Source organism: Homo sapiens, chromosome 11, assembly GCF_000001405.40.
Source record: "Homo sapiens chromosome 11, GRCh38.p14 Primary Assembly".
In the NCBI taxonomy this organism is placed as follows: Eukaryota; Metazoa; Chordata; class Mammalia; order Primates; family Hominidae; genus Homo; species Homo sapiens.
In genome coordinates, this window is record NC_000011.10 from 88560690 (window position 1) to 88576158 (window position 15469).

The 15469-nt window shown below is 37.6% G+C and overlaps 1 protein-coding gene across 4 annotated transcripts in view; it reads right to left on the reverse strand.

Annotated features, from left to right (window-relative positions):
* The window catches only part of GRM5 (glutamate metabotropic receptor 5), a 561341-nt gene that overhangs the window by 56048 nt on the left and 489824 nt on the right, over nt 1-15469 (reverse strand). For all 4 annotated transcript variants that reach the window (NM_001384268.1, NM_001143831.3, NM_000842.5 and 1 more), the window contains exon 8: nt 6364-7303. In NM_001384268.1, the coding sequence (NP_001371197.1) occupies nt 6364-7303 (940 nt within the window). The remainder of the gene's footprint in view (nt 1-6363; nt 7304-15469) is intronic.

A 15469-nucleotide genomic window follows, 5' to 3' on the forward strand; every position in this document is an offset into this window, starting at 1 on the left:
TTCTGTGTGCTCTTTATTAATCACTGCATGGCAAGCACTGTGCTAGGCACCAAGGGAGATATAAATACGCTGAAGACAGCATTAGATAGTTGTGAAAATGTTACATATGTACACAAAACAAACTCAATATCCCGAGGGCCTAGCACAGTGGTGGTATTGCTCAGTCCTCAGTCAATGTCTGTGAATAAATAACAAGTGAAGAAAGGGAGAGTGATATGTGTGAAATATATGGAATACATAATAAATGCTCCAAGAGTCCAGATGTGGGAAAATCTGTGAGATGGGTAAATCTGATAGGGTCTCATTGAGGTGTCCTAGCCTTGGAAGATGAGTAGGATCTGGAGAGATAGAAGGAAAAGGTGGAGGACTCTAAAGAACGAGAAATAGCATGAACATCACTTCATGCAGACTAATAATGCCTGAAGGAAATATAAGCCATTGGAAATTATGAAAGCTCTGACAACAATTGGAGTATATTGGAATTCACACAAATGAACCAGTTTTCTAGGCATATTGTAATTCGGCCAATGAATGTGGGGAGACCAGCAGTTGCTTTAGCAGACAGCCAAAGTGGGCCCTCGTGACAATGCTAATTAAAGCAAAGTTAATTAGTTAATTAAAACAGAAGTGGCAAATGGCAGTTTCTAAATTTCAGTTAAGGTGGAGGCAACACTAATGATTCTGCCCCCTGACTAGAATCCCAGGGGAGGGTTTTGACTTCTGAGAAAATTTATAACTTCCAGCTGTAGGTCTCTGTCATCAATTTAGCCATGAAAGGCCCATTGCATTTTAGAACCCCAGTTCCATGTGCCTGGAAATTCTGAATCTTGCAGAGCTAGAACTTTAGATTCATCAGATTCAATGCTTTATTTAGGTCAGAACTGGCCTTGTGTTCATTTGTCAATTTGCAGCTGAAGTGAATGCCTTAAACGGAAGCCTGGCATTATCTGCTTGACAATGATTTGATGCTGCACCATGTTGTGCTGGAAATTAGTGTCTAGAACCAAAATGTTAATCACAGGGACCTCTATACATTGATGGCATAAATAGCATGTTTCCATATAAAAAAATCTGTAGTGACTCATTTCCATTTAAATAAAAATCTCCCTTTGCTATTTCAGTGAATTGAATGGCTGATTCCGGGCCCTTTTCTATTTGTGCTCTAGGTTGAGCCAATTTAACTTCACAGAAAATTGTTGGATCTGTTAGAATTACCTCTGTTGTCTCCTTAGGTGCTCAGAGAGCTCAAAGTGATTCTTTCTCCATGATGAGAGGTGGAAATTTGCTTCGTCTAGCCCCCTTCTCACTAAAGATATGAACTACTCTTCAGGCCCCATAAACATGTCTTCTCTTGGGTCTATGATGATGTTTTCCAAAGTAAGTTCTTTGGAGCATCAGTTCTTCAGAATGTTAAGAGGTTTACTTGGAAAAAAATGGTCTTGTATACATGTTTGCAAAATGATAGAAAGAGTTAACAAATAGATGATAGGTTTCTACAGTGCAAGACTTCTCAGTGTTTATCTCCAATAAGAGAATAGAGTTTTTTCACCTTTTTGACCAAATAATTTCTTTTTCATGGAGCTATTTAATTTTTCAAAGAATATACTAATTTTCCAAAGAAAACAGTCCATATATGCTTAGCTCTAGTAATCATCAGCTAAGACCTTAATTTAAAAACTGCTCCATTACTCATTAGTCATGAAACAATAGGCAAGTATTCTCACCGTGCAGGACCTCAAATTTCCCATCTGAAAAATGGGAGGATTGTTGCTTCAACTTGCAGTATTTTATGACAATTAGAAATGTTAGACTAGTTATACATACAAAAAGTTCTGTAAGGTGGCAGAACATAGTAGGTAGGTAATAAATGAACCATTTTGGGGGACTACTCTGATTTGAAACTTTTTTCCAGTCTCCTACTTTGTGCTCCACTTCTTCTTACTTCTTTCCTCTTCTTTGCTCTCTTCTCTGTTCCATTCCTCTTCCTTCTGCGACTGCTACCACCGTGACTACTACTAGGTGCTAACATTTTAGGCACTATGCACTGGATTATCTAACAAACACCTGACACGCCATTTTTTCTTTCCATTTCCATGATAGAGATGGAAGAGGCTAAATGTCACTTTCCCATATTCTCTTATATTAGACAGTTTGGGCCAGTGAGACACAAGGGCAATTCTTATGGGACTCTGAGAAGACTTTTGTTTTCCCTAATGAAAGTACACAATGTATGGAACCATGACAACTATATTACAACCATTAGTAAAAGGCCTAGAGAATGGTAGAAGTGTTTGCCTTTGCATCACTGAACCAACACCCGAAGAAATCTCCCTCCACAATTTTTATAACATGAGGAAAATGAACTCTAAAGAGTATAAGTGTTTGAAAACAGGCTTTCTGCTACTTGCAGACACAATTCTAAAAGGTTGAGGTAGCATTTATTGAATACTTTCTACGTGCTGGTACTAAACACTTAATGCATATTACCTCATTTACTACTCAAAATAGGAATTATTATCTACCATTTTACAGTTGAGAAAACAGACTAAAGTGCCTTATTCAAATTCATAGCTGAATTGAAATCCAGGTGTGGTTCCAAAGCCAGAACTCTAAACTAGTATGCTGCCTTTGCATTTTCCATCTGTGTACATACACCTTTCCAGGAGCCTGTACAAACTTTTGGAGACATAGTTACCATAATCTTAGATATTATTATAGTCTTCATTTTGAGGTACACAATTAGTATCCTCTTTAAGATAGAGAGCCCTTACCATCTGCCATTCCATGTGGAAGGGACACACACGACCCCATCCAGAAACAGAGGGCATACCCAATCTCAGATTATAGCAGCCTGTTTCTTCATACACCTGACAGAGGACAGCAGAACAGGGCTGGGTCGAGCATGGTAGATGCTTCTCCACCAAAGACCTACATCCAGAGACTTTATTTACCTATTTAAGCCCACATGACATCCCAAGAGATGGGCTCAATAGCATATTAAAATTTTCAAGACTGAGAAGCACAACTCAGGGAAGCAATTTAGAAGAAAATGTAAAAATATTAGAAATACCTGAATTTATTTGTTTCCCATTAGTTAAGCTGAAGTGCGGTGAACCATGTGTTATACACTGGCTTTTCATAAAAGTAATTATCAAATGGGAGCTGAATCCCTGCATAACCAGCTATATCCTATAGTGTAATAAATATGCTAAACATCACAGATTTTGTATCACAGAGAAGAAATATTTAGTTTTGGAGCTCATGGAAGCCATAGAGGAAAGGAATTTTAGTTTGCATCTCTTTCTAATGACTGTGGGTTAAAAAGGAGAGCAGATATCAGATGCATGTGATACAAAAGAATTATAGCTTTCCCTGCCCCTTTTTCTTATCCATATCAAAAGCAGGTTCTAGCTTGAATATGCCAGTTGATGTCAAAAAAGAAATCTCCATATAATCAGACTGTGGCCTGTGTCAGCTATAATCACATAGACAGATCAAGATTTGCCAAGATTGCAGAAAGAAGACCAAACACTTGCCAAAGGTTTCTCTTTACCCTCTTTCAGATTCTAACATCCAAATGCACAGATTTCAAAAAAACTACATGGCCCTGTAGGAAAAACAAGTTAAAATATTGCAACAAAAATCTTTAGAATTTCCGTTTTCTAGTGGTTGGCACTATCAGTAAAATTTGTTGCTTTTGTTTGTCCCTTTGTTTATTAAATTAGAAACAAAACAGTTGAAAATATTTATTGAATGTTACTAGAGAAACTTTATAACTATAGTAAAGCAAGGGATCAGTGATCCGATTCTAGAGCAGAGACTGATGACCACAGGAGTGAGAGAGATATCTGTAATACAGGGCACTGTTGCCTTAATCTTATAAAAGTTAATAGTACAACTAGGGAGTAAGAGTGTGCACATTTGAAGACAAGCAAAAAAAGTACCTACCACATTAATACCATCCCAAATTCATTCAACAAACATACCAAAAATCATTATTGAGCATATTCTATGTGTCAAGCACCCTTCAAGGTACAGGTAGGTATTGGAGGCACAGTGATGAGCAAGGTAAAGAAGGCCTCCATCCCTAAGGAGCTTGCTCTGCTTAAATTGGAAGACAGGATGTGCTATACAGAATGGCAAAGAGCTGGACAACATGAAGATCGAGATGCCCTGTAAAACTCAGATTGTATAATCAATGTCTCCATAGGTTTGTGCTGCCGTTTATAGTGCTGTCTTTGTTATTAAGATCATCCAGATTGTGTATTGGGTACAGTAACTTTCATGAGTAAAAGAAGACTGACAATGGTTAACTTAGTTAATCAAAATAGCAAATACTTAAGAAGGGCTTACTATGTGGCAGACACTATACACATGTTAACTTATTCAGTCATCACAACCAGTCTATGAAGTATGCATTTCTTTATCTCCATTTTTTCGGAGGAAGAAATCAAAGCATAGAGAGGTTAAGTGAATTTGCCTAAGGTTCTGCACCTGCTAAGTGATGCTGCCAGTATTTAATCCCAGTGCTCTCCAGCACTATACTGTGCTACCTTCAATAAAGTGCCTACTATGTGCCAGCCATTACACATATTATCTCCTTCATTTTTTACAATCCAGTTTGTCAGATGATAGAAATAAGGTGCAGAGAGACAAAGTAGCACTGCTGTTGTTCAAACCCAAAACAATCTGGCTAGGCAGCCAGTGTTCTCTGCCACCACTCCATGCTGTCTCCCTAAGGGGCTTTCTCTAGTGAGTTTTTTACGTGCTCAGACATAGACTCACAATTCCCTTCCTCCATCAATATGCTTGTTTTATATACCAGGCTTTCCTGGGAGATTCTGTTTACAGATAGGACTTGAAGAAAAGCTGATAAAACAAAAGTTTGAAAAATAAATTTTCTTAGCCAAAAGGAAAGGCTGATCTTGCAGAAATTTCAGAAAAAGAATGGTTCATACAGGAGTCAGGAAGGCAGATGGAAAATAGGCCAGCAGGTTAGATATATGAAAGGCCTGCTGTGTACAGACCATGACATTGCCAGGATTTATTGAAAAAGAAGACATGAGTTACAGTTTAATTGAATGTCTTGTACAATGTACGTAGAAAGAGATGAGAAGTGTAAAACAAGTAGAAAAGAGTTGAAAGAGGTAAGAGTACAAGTTAATAATGTAAACGAATTGGACCTTGTGGATAAAATTCAACTATCCTCTGATTTATTTTCAAACTTCAGCAGACATAGTATCTTTACCATCATAATAAGTCATACTTTGAAGATTTAGGGCTGACAGAAAAGTAGGACTTTCCTGCAGGCTAAGTGATAGTATAGGAGAATAGTTCAAGAGATGTTATTTAGATATGTAGCTTCCATTTGAAATCTACATATCTTCCATTTATTTATCTAGATTTTAGAAATACTGTTAAATTTCAGAAGAGTTAGCAGGGCTGATGTCTTGACCAGCTCTTTTGATTACACATTACACTTCTTAAATAGAGGTGATACTTAGTCCCAGTTATCAACAATTGGTGTTGCCTTTTTCATACTTCAACATTTTTCCCAAGCCACTGATAACATGATCTTGTCTTTTGAAGTGCTTTGGGATCATTTATCACATAAGGAAGTTCCTTATATGGGGGAAATCATTGGCTTCTGGCTTTAGATTCTTTTCAGATTGAAATGGTCGAATAACTACTACCTGTGATATTGAACTTGGGGTGGGATGAGACTATAGGCAACAAAGAATTGGGAAAATGACTGGTTGTTTTTATGTGCAAAGTCACTTTGTTGTTTTGCCCTTTTCAGCTGCTTAGACATCTCCTAAAGATTTCATCTTGCCCATTAAGAACTAAAATATAAATCCTACATTCTTGTGCCTCTATTGGATGGGCATTTAAGCACTCTTCTGGCTTGAATAAGGTTTAGGCACGTACAAGTGCAGTCTGATGTGTCGAGTTCTTGGCATTTTGCTCTCAGTATAATCTTTGTTAGTAATATATTTTTACTCTGTTCTGGTGAACTAGAATTTAACCCACAGTATAACTCTGTCCCCTCAGAACTTGAGGGTCCTTGCCTTGGCTTTGTGAGCTAACTCTGCTCTGTCTGCCCTCTCAACCTCACTCCCCCTACGCTGTAACTCTGCTTTATTAGAGATTTTGACTTCCATGTTTCTAGACTTGGCCTAAGTAATTGGACCCACATCCCATTAACCCCATAAATACCATTTTATGAGAAGGTCCATGCCGTAAGTCACCCTGCCTCACATGGTTTCATTTACCCAGATTTCTCCCATTTAAAAGACCCAGGAAACACATGCCTCTGCTCCAGTTTTAGGGGCCAGCATCCCTGTAAGCCCCCACAACTTTTACCTTAAGGTTTCCCCAGAGGAGCCCCTTCTCTTCCACAGGTTGACTAGGCTGCTGGATCTGCTGGCTGCGGAGGATGACTTGCCATCCCCTACATGCATGCGCACCACGGTAGATGTGGTGAAGGCGCTGCGCACGTTTCTCTCTGGTTTGGCCAGGATGATGTACACCTTCGGCACAAACATGCAGCCTAGGGCCACTGTGGCACTGAGGCTGACCGAGAAACACATGGTGATGATTTTGTAGTTGCTGCCAAAGTAGATTGGCACAAAAGCTAGCCATATAATGCAGGTCGTGTACATTGTGAAGGCGATATACTTGGCCTCGTTGAAGTTAGCTGGAACATTTCTGGTCTTGAACGCATAGAAGGTGCAGCTCAAAATCAACAATCCATTGTATCCAAGTGGAGTGACAACTCCTAGGTTGGTGGTGTTACAGATCAGGTAGACTTCTCGAATGCTTGGGTAGTCATGCATTATGTCAGGAGGCTCCATTATAAAGAGGGCAACGATGATGCCCAACTGGATGCATATGAGAATGAAAGCAATCACTAGCTGGGCACAGGCACTCATGAATCTGGGCTTTTTGGTACAGATCTTCTTCTTGCTGCCAGCCAGGATCCTTGCAATACGGTTGGTCTTTGTTACAAGGGCTGAGTAGCTCATGGCTGGGGAGAGACCAATGCCAATTCTCTGAAGGTAGCAGTAAATCTGTTTGGGCTTCGCAATGAGGCAGAAGGTACATAAGTAGCCCAGGCAGATGCCAGCAAGGATAATGTAGCAGAGTTCCCTGCTTGAGGACTTGACTACTGGTGTATCACGGTAAATGATGAAGACTACAGTAACAAACAGGGTGGCCAGGAGGCCAAGGCAGGCAAACACCACAGCTGCAATGGGTTCAGGGTCACCCCATCGAAGATACTGTACTGGGATCAAGTCACAACCTGCAGAGACACAAACACATATTGTAAAGGAGGGAGAGATGTTGACTTGGGTCACATATCCCTAAGTTACAAGCAGCTGTTTATGACCATTTCAGTTTGTTCCCCATCTACCTTTCTAATTTCAGAATCTCCTGCTACTTATTGTTTCATGTATTCATTCAGAAAACGTTAATGATGATATTACTGAACATGTACATGGTCTGTGATAGGAACTATTCTAGGTTCTGAAACAAAATAATGCAGAACATGTTTCCTGCTCTCATAAAAAAAAATCAGTGGCCTTTTAAACAACTGTAACTGTGATAAGGGTCATGAAGAGGTATAACATGGGTTCTAAGCAGTCTCTTGAAGCAGCAAAGGCCTCCTACAATAGGAATGAGCAAATAAATGTGTTGGTTTGATGGAGTTGGGGATTTCATGGGCTTGGCAAACTTACAGTTAAAGTACATTAACTGTAAGGAAGAGAGGCATGAAGGGAAGCCACTGTATGACAGTGTAACAAGTGGCCTAAGATGAGGCTGGGAGGTAGGGAGGAAGGGGATCTTGCAGGTTAGAGAATCCTAGATCAGTAGGAAGTTATTCTAAGGATCTTTGTAGAGCAATGACAAGCTCAGATTTGTGTGTGCGTGTGTGTTTTAAACATTTCTTTGGTTTCTGTGTGGGTTTTGGATGAGATAAAGGTGTGCACACATTTAAGACTTATTTTAGAGCCATATAGAGTGTTTGAATGGATGTGGGAGTGTGTGAAAAGTGAAAAAGATATGAAATATGACCAACACTAGTAAAGAAGAGTTGGAATTTTCAGAGAATCTTGTGGTCTAGATGTTTTAGAAGATTCTGTTAAAAAAAGGAGGAAGTTCATTTTTATAAGAAAACTGACCCCAAAGGCAAACAATTGGCAGGCAAGGGAAGTGCACCACTCTCAAAATCGTTCCTTATTCTTTATTTATGATATGGAGTTTTTAAATTATTCCTTGATTATATAGCAGAAAAATAGTGACAGAATATAGCATCATTTGGATTATCTGTCTTTTACAATTTTTTAGGACAGTGGTTCTCAAAGTTGGCTACACACTAGAATCACCAAGACTATATATATACATATTTACACACATATATAAAATCCTGAGACCTGGGTGTCCCATTGGTTGAGCTTCTGACTTAATTTGTCTGAGTGTGACATGGGCATCAGGATTTTTTAACAATACTGCAAGTGCTTCTAATGTGCAACCAAAGTTGAGAACCATTGTTCTAGGAGGATCATTCCTGTCAGTTAGACTTGAAAGAAAATGGACTTGAGATAGCTTCACTGAGTAAGTAGGAAAGGAGGCAAGTAATCTGGAGCATTGGGCATTTGAGGAATGTAGCAGAAATGACTAATTGCATGTCAATATCTATTCTCCCCTTCATTCTCAGCAATAGACCTCTAATTTCATTTGGGATGGTAAAGGCATTAGTTACAATACTACATTTTTCATCAACCATTGCTGTGAAATGTGGCATAGGAATAGGTTTCAGCCAATAACATGTACACAGAGGATTCCTGAAAGGAAAATGACTCATGGTAGAAAGTAACCTTTTTCCCTTCTTTACTTTCTTCTTCTGCTGCCTGGCACATAAACATGATGGCTACAGCTCCAGCAGTTGTTTTGGACTTCAAGGTAACTTGAAGGACAGAAAATGTGTTCTGGGTTTGGAAGAGAAAAATAGAGGGGGCTCCACTCCCTGAGAACCATGGACCCCCCACTACCTGTGGACTATGCATATCCACATCTTCTTTGTTTAAGCTCCTTTCATTTATTTATTTTCTTGATATATGCAGGGAAAACAAATCCTCATTGATAAGGAGTAAAGTTTTCCTATTAACTTGTCCTATCCCATGATCAAGGGTGTTGCAGTCAGTGGCTTTGAATATCAATGGTTACTGGGAGGTAGGGGAGGCAACAACAAGTAATGACAGCAAGGAAGCATGTAGTTCTTTCAAAATATGCCTAAGGGTAGCTTCGTTGTAGAAAGGGAAGGGAAGAAGGGAAGGGAAGAAACAAAGGAAAGAGAAGGGGAAGGGGAAAGGGAAGGGAAGGGAATTATTCTTCCCCTTATTTCTGCCCTGCTGCTGTTTTGCTTTAAGATCTCACATTTCAGATAGTACTATTAGTACTATAATTAAAGTCATAATGGATTTAATAGGAGTTATGAGCTAGCCTGGGATTCTCAGCACACTTTGTAAAATGTTTCTATGGGAAAATGTATTCTTACTCTAAATAATTGTGCATTTAATATTGAAACAAAGGGCTTTAAATTTTAAAAAATTGTGGATAGCTCAGACTAAATATAACTAAATACAAAACAGTTGTGTTATATGACCTCATTAAGTATAAAAATACATATCTCATTGCTAATTAATATACCTATATCTGTATTTCTAGTCATCTACGTTCCCATGTGCTTCCTATATAGTTGGAATTCAACCTCTGATACTTTAGTATGCCATAGAGTTTAGGCTTATATTTACAAATTTGCTCCTTGGAGAGGCTGTTTTACCAAAAAAAGTATTAATAATATATATATATATATATATATTTTTTTTTTTTTTTTTTTTTTTTTTGAGACATAGTCGCCCTTTGTCACCCAGGCTAGAGTGCAGTGGTGTGATCTTGGCTCACTGCAACCTCTGCCTCCCGAGTTCAAGCGATTCTTGTGCCTCAGCCGCCTGAGCTGGGATTACAGGCACTCCCGGCTAATTTTTTTGTATATTTAGTAGAGACGGGATTTCACCATGTTGGCCAGGCTGGTCGAACTCCTTGCCCTGAGTGATCCACCTTCCTCGGCCTCTCAAAGTGCTGGGATTACAGGCATGAGCCACTGTACCTATCCCATTCCTATATTTATTATTTTATATTAGTTCATTTATAGCAATGATTTGACAATAAAATTTATTAAATATATAGAGGTCTGTTTCTACTGCTAGGTCATGTGCTGCTAACGTCCATAGCAATTTACTTATATAGGAAACGTTATGTTTGTATATAGGGCAGGAATCTTTTCATTACCTAAAAGAATGAGCTGGAAAAAGTAATTAAACACTTAATTTTACCCCAGTTTTTCCTACTGTTCTGCTAAATCTTAATTGTTTTCATCTTAATGTAATTAAGTTTAATTTCTAAATACTTTGCATAGAATAACATTTACTACTATTTTTATCAGATATATTTTTGAACTCTTCATGTTCAGCTTATTAACATCTGTGTGAAACTAAAGAAAACTCATTAGATATATGTGTTAAAAATGTACATGAGGCTTGTCTCTAATGTGATGTAATTATTTTCCCAAATCTTTCAGGATTTATATATTAAATGAATGCTTCTTTTATTTAATGTAAACCATTTAGAAAGTCTTACATTTAGTTTGATGCCTTCATTGCAAAAAATACTGTTGTAACTATTCTCTAAGAATAGCAAACTGGACTCTGATTAAAGGGTTATAATCACTGAATCTTATAATTGAATAAGATCTTAGAGTTTCCAAAAAATGGATGCGTATCACAATCACTTGGGAAGCCTACAAAACTGTAACTCAGGAGTCTAAACTCAGAAGATTTTGAGTCAGTACATTGTGGTGGGGCAAAGGAATCTTTATTTTGAATAAGCAACTTCAGTTATGCTATATTAGTCTTTGGTGCAATTTAACCTTAGAGATTATCAAGCCAAATTCTTACCCATCGTGCAAATGCCTTATATGATAACTCCAAGATGTAATCATCCTAACCTTACTTAAGGCTTTTTATAAAATATATCATCTCAAGGGCAGGACTGGTGGTGGTGTGGGGAGATAGATTGAAAAGGCAGGAGGCTGTGATGGCAAGTGAAGACTGGAAATGAAGAAACCAGTCAGAAGACTATCACAAGGAGACAGGGATGATAAAGACAAAAACTAAGTAACTGTACTAGAGAAAACAATTAGTTGGTAAAGACATTTCAGAACTGGAATTGAAAGAAATTATGAAGAAGATAGAAGAATCAAGAAGAAAGGCTTTGTAGCTGATAGCAATACTGTTAACTAAGATGAGGGCTTAGGAAGCAAAGGGTCACATTTCATGGGAATGATATCTAGCTCCAGTTTGAGCATGCTGTTTGTACTGGGTCTGACCTAGTGAGCTTTGAAAAGCTATCAGTGTGGAAGTTACAGCTTTAGGAATCATCTTTTTATAGAAGCTGAAAATAAGAGACATGGAAATAAACACAACCAATGAGGAAATTCTTAGATGTGGATGAGAGCAGAGCCTAGCAGTCTGGTGTAACACCAATACTAATGAATGAGAGAGGGAGAGAATATGTCAGAGAAGATGTAACATCAGACAGAAGGAAGGAAGTGTATCAGAAGCCAAAGGAAAGTATTAATTGGATGGCCCACCACAGTCTCCTCTAACAATATCAGTTCTGTTTTACTTTTTAAAATTCTTACCCAAATAGCTTGCACAAAGCTTCAAGCTTCAGGTTCACAGATATCTCTTCTGACATTAGATAATTATATGTTTTTTTCCCTTCACTAGTATTAGATTTATTTCTTTTGAATAAGGGATATTATACTTTCTAACATGAAACAAGGTCTACCAAATCTCAGAATCTTGAAATAATGCTAACCTCATTATGATATAAATTTAAATTCTCAGTGATAACTACCCTTACTATGTACACAGTTGTACAAATATCTGTGTAGTTATTGTTCCTAACTTCCTTATTTTCTTCTAATCACTGGGCATTTTTTCCATCAATGGTTGTATTTTTTATCCCTGTTTCATCCTTACTGTAATGGTAAGTTACTGGAAGTGTATGTAGAGGTTACCTAAGAGTCTAAAGCGCATATAATGTATAGTTTTATTATGAATTTAATCAATTTAGCATATGTTATTATATTTTAAATTAAATAATCTTGATCATGTCAGTGAAATTCCTTCCTAACAAGCATATTGCCATTTCTCTGGTTCTCAGAAAATGCACAGTATTATATTATTTTCTAGAAATGCAGATGAAACATGGATTAGAAAACTGCGGTCCATTTTCTAATAACATCTATTTAGGTATCTATTCACTTTTAATTTTTCTTCCCTTTTATACTTGATTCGTAAGTCTGTGGTTCTCTTGTATAATCCATCTTTTCAAAACTTGAACTGACATATATTGAAAAGACAAGTTTTTCTTTTTTTAAAGAGGGAAAGTGAGCTGCCAAAACTATATTGTCCACTTTCATTCTATTACTTCACTAATGTGTTCCCCATAAGTCTAATAGCAGAATGGATGATCTACTGATTTTCTGGACCCCTAAAAATGATGTGACTCCTCATTCACAGCTGGTACTCATGCTTAGATTGTTAGTTTTGCAGTATTAATATTCCTGTAGTTACTAGTTTCTAGACTGCTGCATTTTTCAAACCCTGTTCCAAGTGTCTCTTCAGGGAGAGATGCCTGATGTTCTGTAAATTGGGCTGAACAAGAGCTCCTTACCAAGCTCCTACATTCCTGTATATTTTGGATAAAGGAAGTTGCTGTTTAGAATCTCTGAGAATAAGATGTATGTGCTCTCAGCTGCTGGTTAGGTCATTTCAGGTATACAATGAGAAGGAAGATATAAGATAGATTATAAAAAACTGATCTATTAAAACTAATATGGGGATACAGAACTGACAAGGGGCTGTTGTGGGTTTCCTCTTTGATATTTGAGCAACAGATCTGTCCAGAGCACAAGGTGTTGACTGGTGACTAACAACATCATGCTTGCTTTCCATCTATTTAACTAATAAGCCATCTTTCTGCCTTTCCTTCTTTCTTTACCTCTCTGGATTTGGATCTCATGGATGTTGAACTGGGATCACAGGGTGATACAGAATCAGAATTCTGTGTCTAGTGTTCATATCCCTGATCCTTTAATATTTTTTCTTTACTTAGCCTGAGCTAAAGTTTTTCATCACTTCCATAATTCAGAGAATTTGAAATGGTGGGTGTCTGTGTGTGCTGTGAGACATTGAGGAAACTCATTTCTCTCTGTAGCACTTACTGTATTTATAATCTATTTTGTGGTAGGGGGAGTTTGATTGACTGTATCATTAAGGTCTGTCTTCTCTACTTGACTAGAAGCACCCTGATGATAGGGAGTTTGTCTCTTTTGCACACAAACGGGTCCTCAGTACTGAGCACAGTGCCTCACTCATATGGTTAATATAGCATTTTACAAATTAATATATTTTGTATACAATTAAATATAGAATTCTAATTCTAGTGCATGGATAAGTCATTCTCAAAAAACTTTTGCGTTGCCTTTAGAAGTCCCAAGTTACAGAACTATTATGTAGTGTTTTAGGCAGAAGTCTAAAATCAATTCACTACACCTGAATTTGAGTCTAGTTTCTGGAACCCAAAGAGGGCAAAACTAGATAAGCAGCTCAAAAACTTACTTCTGCCTAGGGACGTGACATGTTTCATATTAGAAATATTCCTCGTGGGCAGGTGCAGTGGCTCATGCCTGTAATCCCAGCACTTTGGGAGGCCGAGGTGGGTGGATCACAAGGTCAGGAGTTCAAGACAAGCCTGGCCAATATGGTGAAACTCCATCTCTACTAAAAATACAGAAATTAGCCAGGCATGGTGGCAGGCACCTGTAGTCCCAGCTACTCAGGAGGCTGAGGCAGGAGAATCGCTTGAACCCAGGAGATGGAGGTTGCAGTGAGCCAAGATTGCACCACTGCACTCCAGCCTGGGTGACAGAGTGAGACTCCATCTCAAAGAAAAAGAAATATTCCTCATGCTGACTAGTCATTTGGGACATTTTTTATGACTGATTAATCTAATTTTGAGTAATTCATTGGATCTGGGAAGTATGTATAGAGGAAAGAATGAGACAGTAACCAGTAAAGTCATTCTTTAGAAAGTGCCATCCAACTATGAAGGTCAGATAGATGTACTTTTCTTAAGGAGGCTGTTAATTGTAACTTTTCTTTTCTTTTTTTTTTTTTTTTACTTTAGCATAGAAAAAAAAAATAGAAAAGTTCCCAAGTTTTCTTCAAGGAAGGCATATTCTACAGTTGATTGATTTTTACCTTAGCACGAAACAAAACATGGCATGATTGCTTTCTCCAATAAAAAGAGAGTCTTTATCCAAGGTGTTAAGCAAGTTTTATTGGTAACTGCCTCAACAGGAAGCTGCCATATTCCTCTTTATGTCAGTATCAAAAGAAAAAAGAGACTAACATTTATTGAATGCCTACTATATATCATGTGTTATTCCAGAAATTTTATGTAATCATCATAATAAAAAATGAGGTAAATATCATTATCTCTATTTTTCAGAGGGGGCAGTATGAAGCTTAATTAGATATGTTAACTTTCTGGGACTGAGATTAAAACTCTGTGGTTATCTACTAACTTATTTATTTATTTTATCTTTGCTACATCAGGGGAGGCAACTTGGCCAGTTACTCCTCTGAAAGAAGTCCTGAGTCTATTTAGTAGGAAACAGAATCATGATTAATTAACAATGTCTGCATGGGCAAGGTGGGGCTAGTGGTGGCATAAATATTTGATAGCTTTATCTTGATATAAATCCATGCTTCCTCTTGAGAAATCTCATTGGTTCAAACCCTTCAGCAAGATTTTCGTTCTGGGCTATATGTCCTTAGAGTTGCTGCCAGAGACACTGATTGATCAGTTGTTTTTCTTGGGTTCCTAAAGTTTTCTAGCATAGAAAATGTTCTGAATGATCATTCATGGGACATTCCCAACTTTGCTACAGAGTAGACTCACAGCCATCCATTTGTCATTGGACCTAGCCTATTCCCCATCCTTCAAGGTTTATTACACATCTCGTTTTAGATTCCTTAATAGAATTCCTTCACAGAGCTGAAAATTCACAGCTATAGTTTTTATTTTTGTTTTTTTTAATTGGTTATATTTTATAGGGGAATTTGAAATTGTGTGCAAAGATTTATTTTATAATTAAGACATAAAGAATGATTTAATAGTACTGCAGAGTACTAAAGGGAAATGTGATCACAGATGCACATTTGTAGGAAATAGCTTTGAAAAATATGACTTCCGGTCATACTGCACATGGATAAGAGTGGAAAAACACAGCATGTGAATTTAAATAATAAAGCGTGCTGACTGGAATAATTCC